The sequence below is a fragment of the Homo sapiens genome, chromosome 8, assembly GCF_000001405.40.
Source record: "Homo sapiens chromosome 8, GRCh38.p14 Primary Assembly".
Classification (NCBI taxonomy): Eukaryota; Metazoa; Chordata; class Mammalia; order Primates; family Hominidae; genus Homo; species Homo sapiens.
In genome coordinates, this window is record NC_000008.11 from 8,832,995 (window position 1) to 8,854,457 (window position 21,463).

Here is a 21,463-nt window from a genome sequence, read left to right on the forward strand (position 1 = left end):
CTGCTTCTAGGAGGGCCTCAACGAGCTTTTACTCATCACAGAGGGCAACGGGGGAGCAGGTGTCTTACATGGCAGGAGCAGGAGGAAGAAAGAGAAGGGAAGGTGCCACACACTTTTAAACAACCAGATCCCATGAGAATTCACCATCGTGACAACACCACCAAAGGGGGACTGGTGCTACACCATTAGAGACCACCCCCTGATCCAATCATCTCCCACCAGGCCCCACCTTCAGCACTGGGGATTGCATTTCAACATGAGATTTGTGTGGGGACATAGATCCAAATCATATCAGAATGTAATGGTACAAACACTCTGGAAAAATTTGGCAGCTTCCTATAAAGCTAGACATGGGCTGAGTGCAGTGATTCATGCCATAATCCTAACATATGGAGAGGCGGAAGTGGGAGGATCGCTTGAGGCCAGGAGTTCAAGACCAGCCTGGGCAACACAGGGAGACCCCATGTCTACAAAAAAATTAAAAATTAGCCAGGCGTGGTGGTACATGCCTGAAGTCTCAGCTACTCAGGAGGCTGAGGTAGGAAGACTGCTTGAAACCAGGAGTTCAAGGCTGCAGTGAGCCACGATTGCACGACCACACTCTAGCCTGGGTGACAGAACAAGACCCTGTCTTTAAGAATAAATAAATTAAATCAACAAATAAACAAAAAGCTAGACATGCACTTTCCATATGACCTAGCAATTCTAATCTTAGAGCAATGACAATATATGCTTACACAAAGCCTTACATGTGAATGTTCATAGTGACTTTATTCACATTGCCAAAAAAATGAGAAGAACCCAAATGTCCCATCAAATGAATGAACATACTGCAGTACTTCCTAAAATGGAATACTACTCAACAACAAAAAGAAACAGCCTACACTTTGGGAAGCTGAGGTGGGCGGATCACCTGAGGACAGGAGTTCAACACCTGCCTGGCCAACATGGTAAAACCCCGTCTCTACTAAAAATACAAAAATTAGCTGGGCATGGTGGTACATGTCTGTAATCCCAGCTACTCAGGAGGTTGAGGCATGAGAATCGCTTGAACCCGGGAGGCGGAGGCTGCAGTGAGCCAAGATCGTGCCACTGCACTCCAGCCTGGGCAACCGAGTGAGACTCTGTCAAAAAAAACAAAAAAAACAAAACAAACAAACAAACAAACAAAAAACAGGAACAGACTACTGTCACATGCAGCATAATGACATTTTATACTATGGTGGTCCCATAAGATTATAATGGAGTGGAAAAATTCCTATCACGGAGTGACATCATAGCCGCCATAACTCAATTTTTTAAAATAAATTTAGTGTTGCCTAAGTGTTCCATGTTTATAAAGCCTACAGTAATGTGCAGTAATGTACTAGGCCTTCACATTTACTCATTACTCATTCACTGACTCACCCAGAGACACTTCCAGTACGCAGGCTCCATTCACGAGACGTGCCCTATACAAGTGCACCATTTTCTGTCTTTTATACTGTATTTTGACAGTACCTCTTCTGTGTTCACATTTGAGATACACAAGTACCACTGTGTTATAATTGCCTATAGTATTGATTACAGTAACATGCTGCACAGGTTTCTATTCTAGGAGCAACAGGCTTGACCATATAGCCTAGGTGCATAATAGGTTGTAACATGTAAGTTATGTGGGTCCACTCTATGATGTTCATACAACAATGAAATTGCCTAATGACACATTTCTCAGTATCCCCATCATTAAGGGATGCATGACTGTATTCATTCATGTAACAACATAAATAAACCTCCAAAACATTATGCTAAGTAGAAGAAGCCAGATCTGTGGTTCCTCAACTGTGCACGAAACCACCCCAGGGCCCCCAGTGAACTCACAGACATGCCACTGGATATTTTAAATCTTGGAGGGAAACAGCAATAATTGTGGGACACCATGTAAGCTACTTTTAATGAGTTCTCTGGATCTAATGGAACTGGTAGGTATCCCTTTTAACTTTCAACACCATAAAAAATTATGGATTCTAAAGGCACTGTGAACCAAGGAAGTTTGCAAACCTCTAAACCAGACACAAAAAAAGTACATACTAAATGACTGAATGTATAGGAAGCTCTCTAATAGGGCAACCTAATTCCCATGGACAGAAAGCAGATGAGTGGTTGTTCGAGGGTGAGCATTAGGGGAGTGAGGGTACATTTGGGGTAATGGGAGTGAATGCTCTCTATCTTGATTGGGAGTGAATGCATGTCAAAACCCATAGAATCTATCACACACTTAAAAAAATAGGTGCATTTTTACTGTATATAAATTATACCTTAATAAAGTTTATTTAGAAATTAAATACTGCAAGAAAAGTTTAAAACACACATTCCTAAACACTATCCTGTCCCACGGGTCTTGAGCATCTTTCTAGATGGTGGGCATCCCGGAGCAGAGTTACGAGATACCCATCATGCAGCCGCCATCTCAGTGACTACAAGGTATCACAGCTCACACTCAGGAAACAAATGTTCATTAATTCCCTCATTTTCCTCACGATGAAGATGTTTCTACAAGGAAATGAAAATTGAAACTAAATTCCAAACTTGCTATATAATGATCTTTTATGTGAACAATTTTTTCAACAACTTAATTTTCAGCACTTATTAATATTTATAAAGCTTTTCTCTCTCACTTCCTCAGGATTCCTGCCACTGAATATGGTTTCAACTTAAAATTTTAAAAGATCCTTTACTGGGTAAGAGTATTTGGGACACCCATTATACTACGTAGAAGAGTCAATATTCAGACCCAGTTCTCATGTATGGAAATTAAACTTTTCATGGCCTCTTGTGATTATTTAGAACAAAAGTTGGCAAAACATGGCCCGCTGCCTGTTCTTGTAAATAAAGTTTTATTGGAACTTAACCACAGCCAGTCATTTACATATTATCTACGACTGCTTTCCAAGGTAGTGCAATTCTGCTAACCGATGCTACTACAGTGGCACAGGTAGGTGGTTGCCACACAGGCTATAGCCTGCGAAGCGAGAAATAATTACTATCTAGCCCTTCAAAGAAAAAGTGTGCTGAACTCCAATCTATAATATATCTGTTGACCTAAAACAACATGCTGAACCATGCAAGACAGAGAGGAAAGAAAAGGAGAAAACCAAACACCTCAGTGATGTTATTTCTTTTTAAAACACAACTGAACAATTACATAAAGGCTGTGTATGTGAGAAAAGCACACTGTTTCAATTGCAAATTTCAGGCAACCCTGTTGCTTCTGACAAAATAATAGTTTGAGTAGCCTCAGGTTCTGGGTGGCGTCCCTCTCAAAAAGTCTGCTTCTGTGAGTTGTAATTATCAATGGCTCTTGGCTTCTTAGAAAAAGTACCCAGCTTTCCTTTCTACTTTATTGTTTTGTTTTGTTTTTTAGAGACAGGGTCTTGTTCTGCTGCCCAGGCTGGAGTGCAGTGGCATGATCGGAACTCACTGCAGTCTCAAACTCCCGGGCTCGAGTGAACCTCCCACCTCAGCCTCCAAAAAGCTGGAGACTACAGGTGTCCACCACCACACCCAGCCAATTTTGTTTTTTCTGTGGAGGCAGGGTCTTCCTATGTTGCCCAGGTTAGTCTCAAACCCCTGGCCTCAAGTGATCCTCCCACCTCAGTCTCCCAAAGTGTTGAGATTAAATGCATGAGCCACCTCGCCCAACCATCCACTTTTCCTTTTTGAACACTTCCTGGTATCTCCATTCATCTCTATCCATGAACTCAAGGTTGGGGAGAACAAATGAAGTAGAGCTAGATAACTTCCTTTAGTTTCCTTTCTGCACACAGGGGTCTAAAAATTCTGATTCCCTTTCCCATCTGAATCTTGCCATTTTTCTCTAAGTTAACCAACCTTTCTTCTTTCCTCTTTTTGTTCCGCCGCAGTGACAGTCATCTTGTTGTTTATTTAAAATGACCCTTTAAAGACATATTAAGTCTCATTCTGTCTGCTTAATGTCATGACCAAAACATAGTTTCATGCAAAAGAGATTTTAAGCATTTTTGTACAAGCTGAACTGGATTGGGACGTGCAATGGCGGAACTTGTGACTTTGGCAAAACATAATAACTAGGCTCAGTGCCCACAAATATTTATTTAGCATTTTGAAATATGAACTATTCTAAATATGTAATTAGCAACTAGATGTTCATACCACTGCAGTTCTGAAATGATGATACAAATGTTCTGCTGAGTTGAGCAAGATCTTTATATATTCTTAGAGCAGAAGAACAAAATAGTTATCCTTGCTGGGCTTTCAAGTCCAAATATTTTAAAAAGCAATGCAGCAAAGGAGTTGAATAGACATTTCTCCAAAGAAGAACATCCAATAAGTACATAAGAAGATGCTTGGCCAGGCGCAGTGGCTCACGCCTAATCTCAACACTTTGGGAGGCAAGGCGGGCGGATCACTTGAGAGATCAGGAGTTCGAAACCAGTCTGGCCAACATGGTGAAACTCTGTCTTTACTAAAAATACAAAAATTAGCCAAGCGTGGTGGCGCACACCTATACTCCCAAGCTACTCGAGAGGCTGAGGCACAAGAATTCCTTGAACCCAGGAGGCGGAGGTTGCAGTGAGCCAAGATCGCGCCACTGCACTCCAGCCTGGGCGACAGAGTGAGACCCCATCTCAACTGAAAAAAAAAAAGAAGAGGAAGAAGATGCTCAACACCACTTATCATTAGGAACATGCAAATTTAAAACACAATGAGATACCACTGCACACCCATTAGGAGGGCTACTATTAAAAAAATAAATAAATAACAAGTGTTAGCTAGGATGTGGAGAAACTGGAACTCTTGTGCACTGTGGGTGGGAATGTAAAATGGTACAACCGCTACAGAAAACAGTATTATGACTGCTCAGTAAAATCAGCGAAATGATTTAACACCATGTGACCCACCATTCCACCCCTACATGTTTACTCAGGAGAAACAATGACATGTCCAGCACACAAAGACTTGTACATGCATGTTCATAACAATTTTATTTATAATCACCCCAAACTGGAAACAGCCTCTATGTCTATCAGCTGGTGAATGGATAAATAAACCGGCATATTCAGCAATAAGATGGATGAAGTACTGACCTGTGCAACACCTCAAGAGTGAGTGTCAAATACATTACACTGAGTGAAAAGGTCAGACAAAAGACTATCCGTTAGGATTTCTACGAAGCTCTAGACAAGGCAGATCTAATCTATAGTGACAAAAAGCCCATCAGTGGTTGCCTGAGGCTGGCATGAGGGAGGCCTGGCTGGGAAGAGGCAGAAAGCAACCCCAGGATTGAGGGGAAGGGTCTATATTCTTGATTGTGGTGGTAGATACCTAAATCTGTCACAATTCACCCAAATGTATAGTTAAAATGGTACATTTTATTGTATGCAAACTATACATCATTAAAAAAATTTTACGCTATCCTGCTGTGTTTTCATATTGAAAGATGAAAAGAAGCGAAGCTGTCCTTCTTCCCCCTATACCCCACACCTTCTAATAAGCCTCACATAAAATTCCATATATCAGCTGGGCACGTTGGCTCATGCCTGTAATCCCAGCACTTTGGGAGGCAGAGGCGGGCGGATCACCTGAGGTCAGGAGTTCAAGACCACCCTGGCCAACATGGCAAAACCGTGTCTCTACTAAAAATACAAAAATTAGCTGGGCATGGAGGCGGGTGCCTGTAATTCCAGCTACTCAGGAGGGTGAGGCAGGAGAATCGGTTGAACTGGGAGGCAGAGGTTGTAGTGAGTCGAGACTGCACCACTGCACTCCAGACTGAGCAACAGGGCGAGACCCTGCCTCAAAAAAAAAAAAAAAATCCACGTACCTTCAAGCTTCTCTTCTCCCTTCCTGAGTACCAGTTATTTTCATATTTTAAAGGACTTTCTCTTTCTCTGATCTAACACAATGACAACTAAGCAAAGGCATGTACCATTTTATAATATATGCAGGGTCTCTTTGCTCCACTCTATACATGTGAAAGATTTTAATTCAAGTACAAGTTACTACTCAGAAAGACAAATGCTATTAAGAAATGACAGTAATATTGACAAACTAGACCACTAAAATTTATGAGAACAATAAACCCATTTCCTGCAGGAACTATCTATTCTGGATATTACTTAGTATTATAAATCTGCCTCTTAAGAAAATTAAACCTGGGGAAGAGAGAATTAAAAAAAAAATAAGGACTATAAAAGACTTGCTGCAAAAACTGACTGAGAAAGAGAAAAATAAAGTTTTTTTTTCTTCTCAACAGTATGCAAAGACTCTAATTTCTCCACATCTTCATCCAACATATGTAAAGCCATTATTTGTCTTTTTGTGAAGAAAATGTGCTATCTATGTAAAAGCCTGTCAAACTGTAAAGTGTTATATATTTGAAAGCTATCATCATTAAAGAGCCAGACTATCCTTTTAACCAGATGGCCCCTTTAACAAATATCACAGAAAGAACACTAGGCTGGAAATGAGATATCCTAGTTCTGGTCCCAAATCTACCAATTATGAAATTAGTGACTGTGGGTAAGTAACCACTTGCCTTAACCCTCCATTTCTTATGTCCACCAATCCATGCCTTCCTCATCTCATAAGCTTGCTCTGCAGATCTGATGATGGCATATAAACAAACTTTGAAAATCACCAAGCCACTCTCAATAAAAGAGAGCAGTATTATTTATTCCTAGGTCTGGCTGAAATAACGTAATATATTATTGATTACATATATCAATGAAACACCATCATGATATCCTTGTAACACGAGCCCAAAGAGTAACGGTCACCTGGCTGAATCCACCTGTTTCTAAGAAACAAAGAATATCTCATTTCACATAGTATTACAGTGGAAGATCCAGAACCTACCATGCCTGGACTGTCTCAGATGAGTATTTCCAGAGCTTTAATAGCAAGTCAAGATAAACACAATAATTGGAGGAAAAAGAAAAAAAAGATACAAACCCACTAGTATTTGAATGCATTCTCTTAATTCTAGTAAATGGATATACATATACGTATATATACACATATATGTTTGTACAGTGTAACTCAATGTTTTTAAGGAATTGTTATCCATCAAAAGACATATCCAAGCACCTACTGTTCCAACCCCACTGCCACTACCTCATTATTAGGAAGACTCCAGGGACGCAACAAAATGCTCATTACTGGCCGGGCACAGTGACTCACGCCTGTAATCTCAGCACTTTGGGAGGCCGAAGCGGGCAGATCACTTGAGGTCAGGAGTTTCAGGCTAGCCTGGCCAACATGGCAAAACCCTGTGTCTACTAAAAATACAAAAATTAGCCAGGTATGGTGGCACACACCTGTCGTCCCAGCTACTCAGGAGGCTGAGGCATGAGAATCACTTGAACCTGGGAGACGGAGCTTGCAGTGAGCCGAGATTGTGCCACTGCACTCTAGCCTGGGCCACAGAGTGAGACTCCATCTCAATACAAAAAAAAAAAAAAAAAAAAAGAATGGTTCATTACCATCTGGAACATCTTGTTCAAATCTCAAGGACTTGGCAGCCATGATGGTGCCGGTCATTCATGGACCCGACCCGGTAATGACATACCATCAAACTCGGCACACTGTACACGAAAGCAAAAGTATCCTTCAGTTCTTCTGAAGGCACAATCTTTTAAGATGGATGATCACTTCTTCAACATTCCTTTAGGAACAAGTCCATTAGTTAGATGCCGTTGGTTCTTAGAATCCCTGTCCCCCTAAATCTCACACCTCACTACACTTCTAGTCGAATTCTATGTACTGGATGCCTAACCTAGTGATTTGCCTTGCCTTGTGTGATAAACATGCTCCTAAAAAGATGGTGTAGAAGGTACCACTTTTTAAAGTACTACAGGATTCCTGATTCAAATATCTTATAAATCCTTTAGTAAAATGATACACTTCTTACACAAGAGCATATTCTCATATTGGATTTGTTTTAAACAAGGCACACAAACTATGACATTGTATGTAAAACTATAAGCCCCATCACATGTAATATTTTAAATGTCTTCATTTAACCTTAAATAAGTAAAAAATAATAAAATGTAGGGCAATTACCAAGTGCCTTAATAAAGGTCAAGCTACCTATGTAACATCTCCTTCGCATATTCCTTAAGATATTCTTCATGTGCTAAAAATACCGATGGCGGGCTGTACTTCAAGACTTCTTTTTGGGTCGGGCGTGGTGGCTCACAACCGTAATCCTAGCACTTTGGGAGGCCGAGGCAGGCGGATCACCTGCGGTCATGAGTTTAAGACCAGCCTGGCCAACATAGTGAAACCCCATCTCTACTAAAAATACAAAAATGAGCTGGGCGTGGTGGCGCACGCCTGTAATCCCAGCTACTCGGGAGGCTGAGGCAGGAGAATCGCTTGAACCCAGGAGGCAGAGTGAGCCGGGAATGCACCACTGCACTACAGCCTGGGCGACAGATCAAGACTTCGTCTCAAAAAAAAAAAAAGACTTCTTTTTGTTGTTTGCTGGGAATGGATCCACCACATGTAAAACACTCACTCATTCCCCTCAAGCAAACATGCTGAATGTAAGAGGCCTTGTGAGCTGACAATCACTCGGTCAGACAGTCGAGTGGAGGACTTTTATTTCAAAAATGGCAATGGTAAGGCCAAAAGGAAGTTAAGTAGCTCCTTCCAGGCTGCAGAGAGACTGAACAGGAATAAGAAGCCAGCCCCTGGTTATACTCTTCCCTGCTCCACGAAGCCTTCCAGACCCCACATGGGCCACACCCCACGGGTACGAGAGTTTGGGTTGAACCAAAAAGACTTGATCTTCCTGTTCGTATCCCAGAATAAGCCACCCTTATGTTGCTGCAGAATTTTAGGAAATATGCCATCCTACTTTGGCAACCTTATGTGAGATTTTCTGCATTTAAAGAAAGAGGGATGTGTGTTCTGCATTAGCTCCAGAAATAAAAACCCCTACTCAGTCTCAGCAAGGCATGCAGTTAAAAATAATCAGAGCCGGTGTTTCTCTACGGTGAAAGAATGAGCCAAGCAATGTGGGAGGCTGAGTGCCAACAAGGCTGCGCCTTTATAATCATCTTAGTAACCGGACAGCCTGCTGCAGGTTTTCAAGGGAAGTCCTGAAAGAAGCAGCACGACCCACCCTACCTTCTTCCGGAGAAACTGTAACTTCACAGGTCTGATTTTCTTTTCTTTTTTTTTTTGAAACGGAATTTCGCTCTGTTGCCCAGGCTGGAGTGCGGTGGCTCAACCTCGGCTCACTGCAACCTCTGCCTCCCAGGTTCAAGCGATTCTCCTGCCTCAGCCTCCTGAGTAGCTAGGATTACAGGCACCCACCACCAAGCCCAGCTAATTTTTGTATTTTTAGTAGAGACAGGGTTTCACCACGTTCACCAGGCTGATCTCGAACTCCTGACTTCAGGAGATCCACCCACCTCAGCCTCCCAAAGTGCTGGGATTGTAATAGGCGTGAGCCACCATGCCCGACCCCACGTCTGATTTTGAATGCTAACATTTCCTCGGTACACAGTAACTCACAACATCAAAGTGACACAGGACGCACGTGTAAATCGCACTAGAAGCCTCATCCGTACAGCCTTGCTATCAAGTGTGGTCTGCACCAGCAGCACCGGCATCACCCAGGAGCTGGTAAGGAAAGGAGAACCTCAGCCCCTGCCCCAATCTCTGGACTCAGCATCATCCATTTTGAGCAAGGTGCCCAGGTGATCGGACAGCACGTTAAAGCTAGAGAAGCAATGCCCTAATCCTAGTAACCCATGCACCATCATGAGAAATCCCAGACACTGCCTCCTCTTCCTTCCCACCTGATGCTGCAGGACACAGGACGGATGCTCATAGTGCTCCCTGTGATCTCTCCAATTTCTCACTTGGGCCTTTGCAATCTGCATTTACAAATTAGCATGGTTTGAATTAACAGAAAAACAAAAGAGTAGTATCTGGTTAGCATCTAAGAAAGCGAAAGAGGCCGGGCGCGGTGGCTCACGCCTGTAATCCCAGCACTTTGGGAGGCCGAGGCGGGTGGATCATGAGGTCAGGAGATCGAGACCATCCTGGCTAACAAGGTGAAACCCGGTCTCTACTAAAAATACAAAAAAAAAATTAGCCGGGCGCGGTGGCGGGCGCCTGTAGTCCCAGCTACTCGGGAGGCTGAGGCAGGAGAATGGCGTGAACCCCGGAAGCGGAGCTTGCAGTGAGCCGAGATTGCGCCACTGCAGTCCGCAGTCCCGCCTGGGCGACAGAGCGAGACTCCGTCTCAAAAAAAAAAAAAGAAAGCGAAAGAGGGCCAGGTGCTGTGACTCACACCTGTAATCCCAACATTTCGGGAGGCTCAGGTGGGCAAATCACTTGAGGCCAGGAGTTCGAGACCAGCCTAGGCAACATTTCAAGACCCCATCTCTACAAAAAATAAAGAAACTCAGATACGGTGTTGTGCACCTTTAGTCCCAGCTACTCAGGATGCTGAAGCAGGAGGATGGATTGAGCCCAGGAGGTTAAGGCCGTAGCGAGTGGTGATCATGCCACTGCATGCCAGCCTGGGCTAAAGAGTGGGACTCCGTTTCAAAAATAAATAAACACATAAATAAAAAGAAAGTGAGAGAGAAAGCAGGGAGCGGGGTCTGTTTGGGAGAGAAAAAGAAGAAAGTGAAAGGTGAGCAGGTCCGGTGTGGAAGAAGCAGGTCAGAAGAGAGGGCAGAGGCTCATTTCTCCCCACACGTCACCCTGCACCTGCTCCCATAAACATCAGCGAACTCATCCCTATCTTACAGGCTGGAAAAGGAGTCACATTTCTCTTAAATTTAACTTTTACGCTAAGGTCCAAAAATGGAAAGGTAGAAATTGAAGAATTAATTACCTCTGTTTTATCATTAACCAAAGCAGTATTACCTGCCTAAAGAGGACAAAATATTAAAAAATAGCAGAATCTTATTTTATAAGGGATTGTGGGATCAATTTAAGTAATTAACAATCCACTGTTCTCTGGGACTCTACCTACATGGGTGTCATGCTGAAAGGCACAGAAACGCAAATTCTAATCCTTTTGAAAAGAATGACAGATGGAGAAGAAAGAACTCTGAAGTCAGCAAGCCCAGAATGCAGTGTCAGCCCTTCTACTACTAACCTAGCAAGAGAACTGTGGGCAGTTTCTCAGGCTCAGCTTTGTCATCCAAAGAAACAGGAAAAATCAACCAACGTTGTCTCCAAAGGTCCTTCCATAGGAGCCCTAAAAACTGTATGATTCTAAGTCAGTTAATCATTGTCTCAATATTACTATTTCTCTTTAAAATGGGAAAAATGACTCACAGGTAGTCTCACCAGATGCAGGCTTCAAATGTGTCATTTGCTCATTTTAGGAAATAGTCCAGACTTCTTCAAAACATGACTCTATTCACACTTAGCCAGTCTTGTTTACCAAAATACAAATAAGCCTAGGCATATACACAGCACACCTGTCATTGTTTAAAGTTAGCATGACTCTTGCACCAGCTTCTTATCTGAAAAGATCTAAAAATGACACAACTGGCGTGCTCTAATTCTGCAGAGGCAGGGCTGGCTTCTGTCCACCTTCTCGGGCATAAACGGGAAGCTCCGCAAGGTCAGCTCTCTGCTTCAGATGCCTCCTTCTCAGACCATCTCTCATGCACCACCCATCACACTCTATCCCCTGAACCTCTCTTACATCTTCTCAAAGCTTAAATTATAATTGGCATATTGGATTACTGACCATTCCTCTTCCCCAACTTGATTTTCAACTCCTAGAGAGGAGGGGTGTTACCTGGCACTACTACTACATCAAAACAGTGTCTGGCACAGAGGCCATAACCACTGGCCAAATAAGCAAATTTAAGTTCTAATACTGGTCAGTGAGGTTGTTGCTGTATTTTCAAGAAGAAGGCCCAAAACTATCTGCATGACAAAGCAATCCTTGGATGAAGATAAGAACAAGAGCAACAAAAGAAGAAGAAGAAGAAAAGAATTCATTTTTGTTGGAGTAAGAGGAAAACTAAGAAGACCTATAAAATGGATTAAGATACAACTACCCTCAGTATTCTGAATGCACATGTGTTTTTCCCTTTAGAGTTACGAACAGAAATTTAAACTGACCCTCTGTCATTCATATGCAAAGAGGATAAAATCAAGTGGATTTTTTATGTTCTGCTTCAACTGCCATTCTTTTTCAGATTTAATCAGCTGAACAAATAATGGTAGTTTTCTAGGTTAGTTCACATAAAAGTCAGAAACAGTCCTATAGACACTTAAAAACTTTTTTAAAAAGGTGCTTTCATCATCAATACCAATATTGGCAAGATTACAATTGATGTATCTGTGAAGCAGCAGAAAATCATATTCCTTTTCAGTAATATTAGCATATCACAGAGCATACCGGGTAGTGAAACCCAAGCCTGGGTGCACGCTTATCTAGCGGCAGACCCAGGAGCAGAAGATTATGAGTGGCATCTGTGAGGCTGCCGGAAACAGGTTCTCAATGAGACACTTATAATTTCATTAAATGGCCTTTGACAAGACCCTCCTGCTGGGGGGCCCATGGCAGGCTCCGGGGAATGCTTCTTCCTCAGTGGTCTTTTCTAGTCTTTATCCTGAATTTTCCTTTTTTTGACTTAATATTTCCCTATCTTAAGCTTAGTGTTATACTCTGAGATTTGTTAACAAAAGCACACTTATCCCTATAGAAAAGCATAGAGAAGACTGAATGAGACAATAATAGCTTTTCATAACAACCACAGCAAAAAACTAAATGGGTCCCACACCCAATTTTAATTTTCCCCACAAAATCTGCTCCTCTCCCTAGCTTTCCCAGTTCAATAAATAGCAACTCCATCTTTCTGGTTGTCAGGCCAAAAACCTTTGTCTTTACCTCTTTCTCTCAAAACCCAGAACAAATCCATCAACAACCCCTTCAACTCGATCCTCCAAACAGATCTAGAAAATGGGCCTGGCACAGTGGCTAACACCTGTATTCCCAGCAGTTTGGGAGGCCAAGGCAGGCGGATCACTTGAGGTCAGGAGGTTGAGACCAGCCTGGACAACATGGCGAAACCCTGTCTCTACTAAAAACACAAAAATTAGCTGGACATGGTGGCACGCATCTGTAATCCCAGCTACTCAGGAAGCTGAGGCAGGAGAATCGCTCGAACCTGGGAGGTGGAGGCTGCAGTGAGCTGAGAACATGCCACTGCACTCCAGCCTGAGCGACAGAGCGAGACTCTGTCTCCAAAAAAAAGGGGGGGGGGGAAGGAGGAGGAGGGGGAGGAGGATAAGAAGGAGGAGGGGAAGGAGGAGAAGGAGGAGTAGGAGGGGGAGGAGGGGGAGGAGGGGGAGGAGGAGAAGGAGAAGGAGAAGAAAATGACCACTGGTCACCAGCTCCACTGCTACTATGCAAGTCCAAGGTATCAGTGTTCCTTGCCCAAACTACTGCAAAAGTCTCCTGCCTTACCTCCCTGCCTTCACCCTTACCTATTCACCACACACTCTCCAGGACCTTTTAAAACTAGTTCATTTAAAATGTTCTCAGCTCAAAGTTCCCAAGCCTCACAGAATCTCCCCTCTGCTGCTGGCACCTCTCTGATCTCTTTTCTCCTTCTTCCCCTGCTTGCAGCCTTCCTGTTGTGCCTCAAACAAACCAAGAACACAGCTGTCTCGGGGCCTCTGCACTTGTTCTCCCTGCCTCAAATGCTCTTCCCTCACATAATAAGATTGCTCATTCCCTTACTTCATTCAAGGTTCTGCTGAATTAGCCCTCCTAGACAGGTTTTCCTTGGCTGCTTTATTTAAAATAGCAGCGACCCACCCCGCCCATCATTCTGTCTCTCATCACAAGTATGTAAAACCCATAAAAACAATGACTTTGTGCAGTGTCTACGATGACCTTTGATACACTGCATTCAACAAATGCTTGCAGAATGAAGGAATAAACTTATTATGCATCTACTATATGCCAGACACAATAAATATTTGTTGAATGGATGAATAAATGAATGAGTGAATTCCAACATCCCTCCTCCAAACACACTCAGAAAAACAATTGTCTTAGATTTTTCAGAGGAATCACCAAAATGAGGCTAACACCAATGATATTTTTCGTAATTGGCAGGAAGACTGGAGACACAGGTACTTGTGTATACTCGCTAGTTAGAAATATTTTTTGTTTTTTTTCTTTTGAGACAGAGTTTTGCTCTTGTCATCCAGGCTGGAGTACAATGGCTTGATGTGGGCTCACTGCAACCTCCACCTCCCAGGTTGAAGTGATTCTCCTGCCTCAGTCTCCTGAGTAGCTGGGATTAGAGGAATGTGCCACCGCACCCAGCTAATTTTTGTATTTTTAGTAGAGACGGGGTTTCACCATGTTGGCCAGGCTGGTCTCAAACTCCTGACCTCAGGTGATGCACCTGCCTTGGCCTGTCAAAGTGTTAAGATGACAGGTGTGAGTCACCACGCCCGGCCAGAAATATCTTAAGAAACAAAGAAGCAGAAAGGATCTACTCAGAAGCAGGCAGGATCTACTTGACAAAAGACAGAATGGAAATTCATTATTGATAAGACAGCTGGTGGTTATATACTAAGAAATAAAAAGAGCCCTATGCTTAGAATTGTCATTTACTAACTACCTGATGAAGACATCTCATGACAGACGTATAAAACAATTTTGCAGTAAATTCCCTGCACACTCTGGACCTTCAGAAAATGTGTATGAACTAAAATTCCATTTTATCATCAACAGTGATAGGAGAGTTTCTATTCCCAACCGCTTCAGACAGCAGGTGTTTAAAGTCAATTCATTCATTAAGGGATGCTCAGCTTAGTCTAATCAATATCTGGTATAGCCCATGTTGCTGAACAACCTCAATTTCACACCACAGTTATGCTTTAAAAAAAGATTTGTAAATATTGAAAGAGGCAGTATACTTGCTGTGATGCACACATGTAACATTAAAAACACTATCCAAACATCCTTCCCTGTTAGGGGATATTTTCCCCATCCTAGGATAAAAGGTGAGAAAAAACAAAGCACAGCCTAGACACTGGGTTGCAACTGAACTGCTGGGACAATCATCTGGGACGGCTGCTTTCCACCCAGCCCGCCCAGGGCTGCACTGGCTAGTCCCTTTGCTTCTCTGTCCCTTTTAGCCGAGCTCCCAGAGTGTTCCACCTGACACCACAGGGTTTGCAGTTGCCATCTGCATCCTGCTGTTCTCATCTCTTTAATCATTTCTCCAACATTTATCATAATAGCCTCCTCCTAGTCTTCAAAGAAGGGATTATGACTCCAATTTACACACCGCTGAACCCGTGTTAGCCATTTGGAGGGAGTGCCTCTACTTTCCATTTTAAAAAGGGCCAGTCAGGCCTAAAGAGGAAGAAAAAAAAAAAAAAAAGAAGCCATGCCATCCCACTTCATTTTCCTCTCCACTGCAGGCAAAGGAATAAAAGTGAAAGCCATTAACATAAAGAGACACACGTAAAGGGCAAACGGCTCAGGCAGAACTCAAAAACCCCTGATCATTTAACTGGAAATTGAATTAAAATACTTCATGAGATAAAGACAAGCCCTTTTACTACTAACGGAGCTGGGCAGTTATTAATTTTTTTTAAACAATCAGATCTCGCAAGAGGTAGTTATTTTTAAACCATAAATTGAGTACTCAATAGAGAATGGACAAAGATTTTGGTCCTTACATTAGGACGTGTTTTTTAAAGCAAACAAATGAAAAACACAGACTGCTATGGCAAGCAGTCGGCCCACAGGCTACTTAACACAAATGAATTAAATAGCCACAGAACCAATTTAATCAAACAGTGCGAAGTCGGTTTCCGTTCTCAAAGCTGGTGTTTTTAAAAACTGGTTAAATCAAGTTACCTTTTTTCTTCTGAAGGTAGGAAGAGGGATTTACTTCTGAATTCAAAACACTATTATACTTACTTTTTTCTTAAATTGCTACATGATGGAATTGACCACTTCCTCCCACTAGCAGGGTAAAGGTACACAATGCAAAGAACAGCTCTGCAGCAATTAATTCCTTTTTACCTTTTTTTTTTTTTTTTTTTTTTTTTTTTTTTGGAGACATAGAGTCTAGCTCTGTTGCCCAGGCTGAAGAGCAATGGCACGATCTCAGCTCACTGCAACCTCTGCCTCCCGTGTTCAAGCGATTCTCCTGCCTTAGCCTCCCGAGTAGCTGGGACTACAGGCGTGAGCCACCATGCCCAGCTAATTTTTGTATTTTTAATAGAGACAGGGTTTTGCCATGTTGTTCAGGCTGCTCTTGAACTCCTGGCCTCAAGTGGCCTGCCTGCCTCAGCCTCCTGAAGTGCTGGGATTACAAGTGTGAGCCACCGCACCCAGCCTTGTAGCAAGTAATTCTGAAAGCCTTGCAGAAAGTAATACTTGCAGCAAGTAATTTCAGTTCACTGATTTTCTGCCTTCACCACCCCACATGTGCATAATGTGTGTGCACTTACACGTGTGTGTATTCTGTGTCAGTAAGAAACGTGGGGTTATTATAAAGATATTTGCCAGTTGCAAATTAGACCTTCACAGCTGCGGTCCTGTTCAGTCCAACTGTGGCCCCAAAGAGCCTCCCCTGGGCTGAAAATGCATTTTGTGTCTCCTGGTCAAGAAATGAGCAGTCCAAGTGGACACTTCATTGTGGTCAAGGGAAACTATGCTTTTGTATAAATAAACTATTTGTCTAAACTTCAAACAGGTAAGGGTAGATAAGCTTTACTTTCTAGCAAGGGCAAAAGTTATCTCCTTTCCCTTTCTCTCAGAGGGAACCAAATCCTGAAGACGGTTCATGGCTCAAAGCCCTAATTGCCTGGTATGACCCAGGGAAAACTCCATTTTAAGAAAATGTACTTTCCTTTAAATATTCTGAGACAGAAAGCAACCAGGTCTCTGAAGAAGCTGCTAGACTTTCTCAGGATGGTAGAAACTTTCAGGAAAGCAAAGGAATTTAATGAAGCCTCAGAGAGAGTTTGAAATCTTTACCTTACATAGCACTGATGGCTAATACTATGCTTGTTCTAATGAAGATAATTTTGTATGATTCTTGACTAGGTTTGAGGCTACCAAAACCAAAAATCAGTGTGTATACCTTTAAATCCCGAGGCAACTAACAGCTATTAAACTAGTTAACATTTATAAACCATTAACTCTCACCTACACCCCTTGTAAACTATTAACTCTCAGCTACACCCCTTGGTAAATGTTAACAGTTAAAGTTCTCTTTCATTCATTAAAATGCAAATAGCTTAACATGTCTGTGACAATACACACTAATAATTTCCCACTTTTTATTAAATGTTTAATAGCACTGATACCCAATCTGAAAAAACTTCCCATATTAGAGAGATAGACTGTGGTGCTAATATTTTCCTAGCAAACGACAGAATTTTTAAATTGGAACAGACTTTAGAGATCATTTCATCCAGCTTCTCATTTTAAAGATTAGGAGATAGAACCAGAGCCTCTGAAATGTCCAAAGCCACAGAGTTTATTAGTAAATATAAAATCAGAACACCCAGGGTCGGGTGCGGTAGCTCACGCCTGTAATTTCAGCACTTTGGGAGGCCAAGCCAGGTGGATCACTAAGGTCAGGAGACCAGCCTGGCCAACATGGCAAAACCCTGTCTCTACTAAAAACCCCAAAATTAGCCTCGCTTGGTGGCGCACACCTATAATCAGGAGGCTGAAGCAGGAGAATCGCTTGAATCCAGGAGGCGAAGGTTACAGTGAGTGGCGATCGTGCCTGGGCAACAGGAGTGAAACTCCGTCTCAAAAAAAAAAAAAAAAAAAAAAATCAGAACACCCAGAAAGATCAGGTCAGCACCCGCTACACACCAATTCATCTAACCCTTCAACACTCACGTAATCTCAGCGATCTCTTCTCTTTCCCCATCTCCAGCTAGCAGGTTCCATATTCACCCCATAGCTCCATCTGTGGTTTTACCACCCTGGGCACTACACCTGCTCTGTTCCTCCTTAGTGAATCTCCTCGACTTTATCACCCAAAAGTCTTACATAGGGTCACGTATATAAGCGTGCCTCAAGAGGTTAGGAGAAAATCCCAAGGCTAGATGAATTACAGAAGATGAAAAATACATTTTTCTCTTTTTCCTAACCCTTGGTGGTTTTCAGGATGCTGAATGTTACCAAAAAGAATGTGCACACTTCATTTGTCCTACAGTTTATTTAGTCTTGGGTGTCTTATAAATAGAAACTATATTTTGTGGTTGATCCCAAATATTAATATTTAGCATTCCTCCAGCACTTAAAATGCACACAGTTTCTGCCATTTCAATGAGTCCCTACAAGTCAGTAGGACACTAGGCTTTGCACAAACATAAAACAAACAGTCAGCACACAAACGTCTCAGAAATGCATGGACAGGTTCAGGGAAATACTCTTAAAAGTGAGGTCTAGATACCACAAAACAGGCTCTTCAAACTCTACGTGTGGAGTTGTTATCTAAATCAACAAGTTTGCTTGGCAGCTTAATTAAATTCATCCTACCATGTAGTACAACAAAATCGTGTTTCCATATACTATTAAAAAACCAGGGACTAGAAAGTTTACAGTTCTTATCTACTGTTGCAAAACAAAACTGGAAACAAAACTCTATTCTTTCATATTATACCCCTTCCTCTTGCCTTGTTTTTCTCTTTCCATTCACTGAGTAACACTTTAACTAAAGAATGTATTTAAAATAAGAACAAATACAGGAAGTTAATCCAACCAAAACACTTAAAGTAATAGTAAACTAAGGTACATGGAAAAAGAGGAAGTTGTGATGCCCCCCGCAAAATAAAGATTTCCTGGCAGGTGAGACTTGAAAAGCGATCACAGTGTTCTCCATTCTCTTGGTGACAGAGAAAAAATGTTTTCCCTCAACAAAGTTGAAGCTTAAGTGTAAATCTGAGGTCACCAGGCGGATCCCTAATAAGGACAGAGCGCTCCCTCAGGAACAGCGATGCCAAGCCCAGTTTTGGATACATAGGGAGTGGGTGGTGGAATGCCGGCTTCCATTCGAAGGAGACCCCTCTCCAGCACCATGGGAGTCGCACCCTTAGCAGATATTCTGTCCTCCAGAGAGCTGAGGTTTCAGGAGTGCCAAGCAAGGTATAAATGTCATTAGCGTGAGTACTTAAAACATACCACAATGTCCAGGTGCGGTGACTCACACCTGTAATCACATTTGGGAAGCCGAGGCGGGCAGATCACTTGAGGTCAGGAATTCGAGACCAGCCTGTGCAACATGGTGAAACCTCATCTCTACTAAAAATACAAAAATTAGCTGGGTGTGGTGGCATGCACCTGTAATCCCAGCTACTTGGGAGGCTGAGGCAAGAGAATCGCTTGAACCTGGGAGGCGGAGGCTGCAGTGAACTGAGATCACGCCACTCCAGCGTAAGCAACAAAGCGAGACCCTCTCTCAAACACACACACACACACACACACATACACACAAACACACACACCCACAAGAGGGTTTAGACCTGGTGCCTGCTGGTTTCAGCCACTCTAAAACCAATGGGAGGATTTTATTATTTTATTTCTTTGCAAAATAATTGGTTCTGTGGACACCATCGCCCTTCATTAAGGCTGAGATTCTGACTTCCATGGCCATTTGCCATTGATGCTTTTAATAACCATGCATTAATTCCGTTCTGAAGTCCAGAGAAAAAGCTTTCTATTTTTGCCTTCCCTAATAGGGCACAGCCAAGAGAAAGCATCCCACCATGCAAAGCTCTAGCTTGGCTGACATCAGAACAGAGTCCGGTAAACAGTTTCTTATATTAGGCTATCATTGTTGTTAGCCCCGATGAGTCAAATTTACATTCTGGGAGAAGGGTATGAGCCCTCACTTCTACATACTTAAAGTCAGAAGTGATTGCATTTCCATAAGAACATTTATACCCGGATGTATTTCAGAGTCCTACTTTGTGGCTGGGAAGGTGGCCTAAAAAACCCAATATCACCCAAAGGAAGCAGGAGGTCCTGATTCTGTTCTCAGCAGCAACTGCCTGGCTCAGTCCGTGTGTCTGCTCTCAAGACCCCGACTATGCCCCTGCAGGCTCCATTTCTCCTACTACACAAACAAGGCTCTTGCCACCCACTCAGGCTTATTTACTTGCACTGTGTACATATACACCGACTCACACACACACTCACATACCCCCCAAAAAAAATGGAGGCTTAAAATACCCCATTTTGTCACAGTTTGCTCGGAAGCTACTCCCTCTAGTTCAACAGGCGGCAAGCTCCTGTCCTACCTGCCCCTTTCTACCTTTTGGGAATAAAAAGGAGCAACCAGAAATAGCAGAGAAAGCGGAAGGGAACCAGGATCTGACTCGTAATTACAGTTCCATAAACCCAGACAACTATTTTTGTTAGTTAACCTGGACAATCGCACAAGGTGTCTGCTCATTCTTAAAAAAAAAAAAAAAAAAAAAAAACCACACACAACTTAGATTGCTAGTGCCTGGCACGTACAAGGCAAACAGTGTGGGTACAACCATTAGGTCAGGTCCTAGCTACGTATATATATTTGAGATGGAGTCTTGTTCTGTCGCCCAGGCTGGAGTGCAATGGCGCAATCTCAGCTCACTGCAAACTCCGCCTCCAGGGTTCAAGCGATTCTCCTGTCTCAGCCTCCTGAGTAGCTGAGATTACAGCTATGCGCCACCACTCCTGGCAAATTTTGTGTTTTTAGTAGAGACAGGGTTTCACTATGTTGGGCAGGCTAGTCTCGAACTCCTGACCTCAAGTGATCCCCCTACTTCGGCCTCCCAAAGTACTAGGAGCCACCACCCCTGGCTTAGCTACCTATTTCTATTGTCAAGGTTATCCAACTGTTGTAGGTTAAATGGTCCATACTCACTAACACACTGGTGAAGGTGGATAATTACTATTTCCAATTCCCATGTTGCATTCCATAAAAGACACCAACCAACTCCATGAACACCTTGATTTGTCTTAGTTGTGTTCACATTATTAAATTACACTGATTTAGGAGCAAAAAATCCTTTGTAAGTCATGGGCATTGTATAAGGTTGCCCAATTTACAAAACAAAAATATACGCTGGGTGTGGTGGCTCACAGCTGTAATCCCAGCACTCTAGGAGGCCAAGGTGGCAGGATGACTTGAGGTCAGGAGTTCAAGACCAGCCTGGCCAACATGGTGAAACCCCGTGTCTACTAAAAACATAAAAATTAGGCCAGGTGCAGTGGCTCACGCCTGTAATCCCAGCACTTTGGGAGGTCAAGAAGAGGTCAGGAGATCAAGACCATCCTGGCTAACACAGTGAAACCCCGTCTCTACTAAAAATACAAAAAATCAGCCAGGCTTGGTGGTGGGCGCCTACAGTCCCAGCTACTCCGGAGGCTGAGGCAGGATAATGGAGTGAACCCGGGAGGCCGTAC

General features: G+C 42.8%; 1 protein-coding gene across 2 annotated transcripts in view, besides 3 other annotated features; it reads right to left on the reverse strand.

The window, feature by feature from the left end:
• MFHAS1 (multifunctional ROCO family signaling regulator 1) overlaps positions 1-21,463 on the reverse strand; it is a 110,277-nt gene that overhangs the window by 49,641 nt on the left and 39,173 nt on the right. The gene's annotated exons all lie outside the window — the stretch shown is intronic.
• Positions 11,089-11,228: an enhancer, noted in NCBI's record as "active region_26977". NCBI's record gives its function as "activates an Ori minimal core promoter by ATAC-STARR-seq in GM12878 lymphoblastoid cells {active_cell/tissue: GM12878}" and the evidence as "EXISTENCE:reporter gene assay evidence [ECO:0000049][PMID:35858748]".
• Positions 12,467-12,516: a silencer, noted in NCBI's record as "silent region_18901". NCBI's record gives its function as "represses an Ori minimal core promoter by ATAC-STARR-seq in GM12878 lymphoblastoid cells {active_cell/tissue: GM12878}" and the evidence as "EXISTENCE:reporter gene assay evidence [ECO:0000049][PMID:35858748]".
• Positions 15,154-15,363: an enhancer, noted in NCBI's record as "active region_26978". NCBI's record gives its function as "activates an Ori minimal core promoter by ATAC-STARR-seq in GM12878 lymphoblastoid cells {active_cell/tissue: GM12878}" and the evidence as "EXISTENCE:reporter gene assay evidence [ECO:0000049][PMID:35858748]".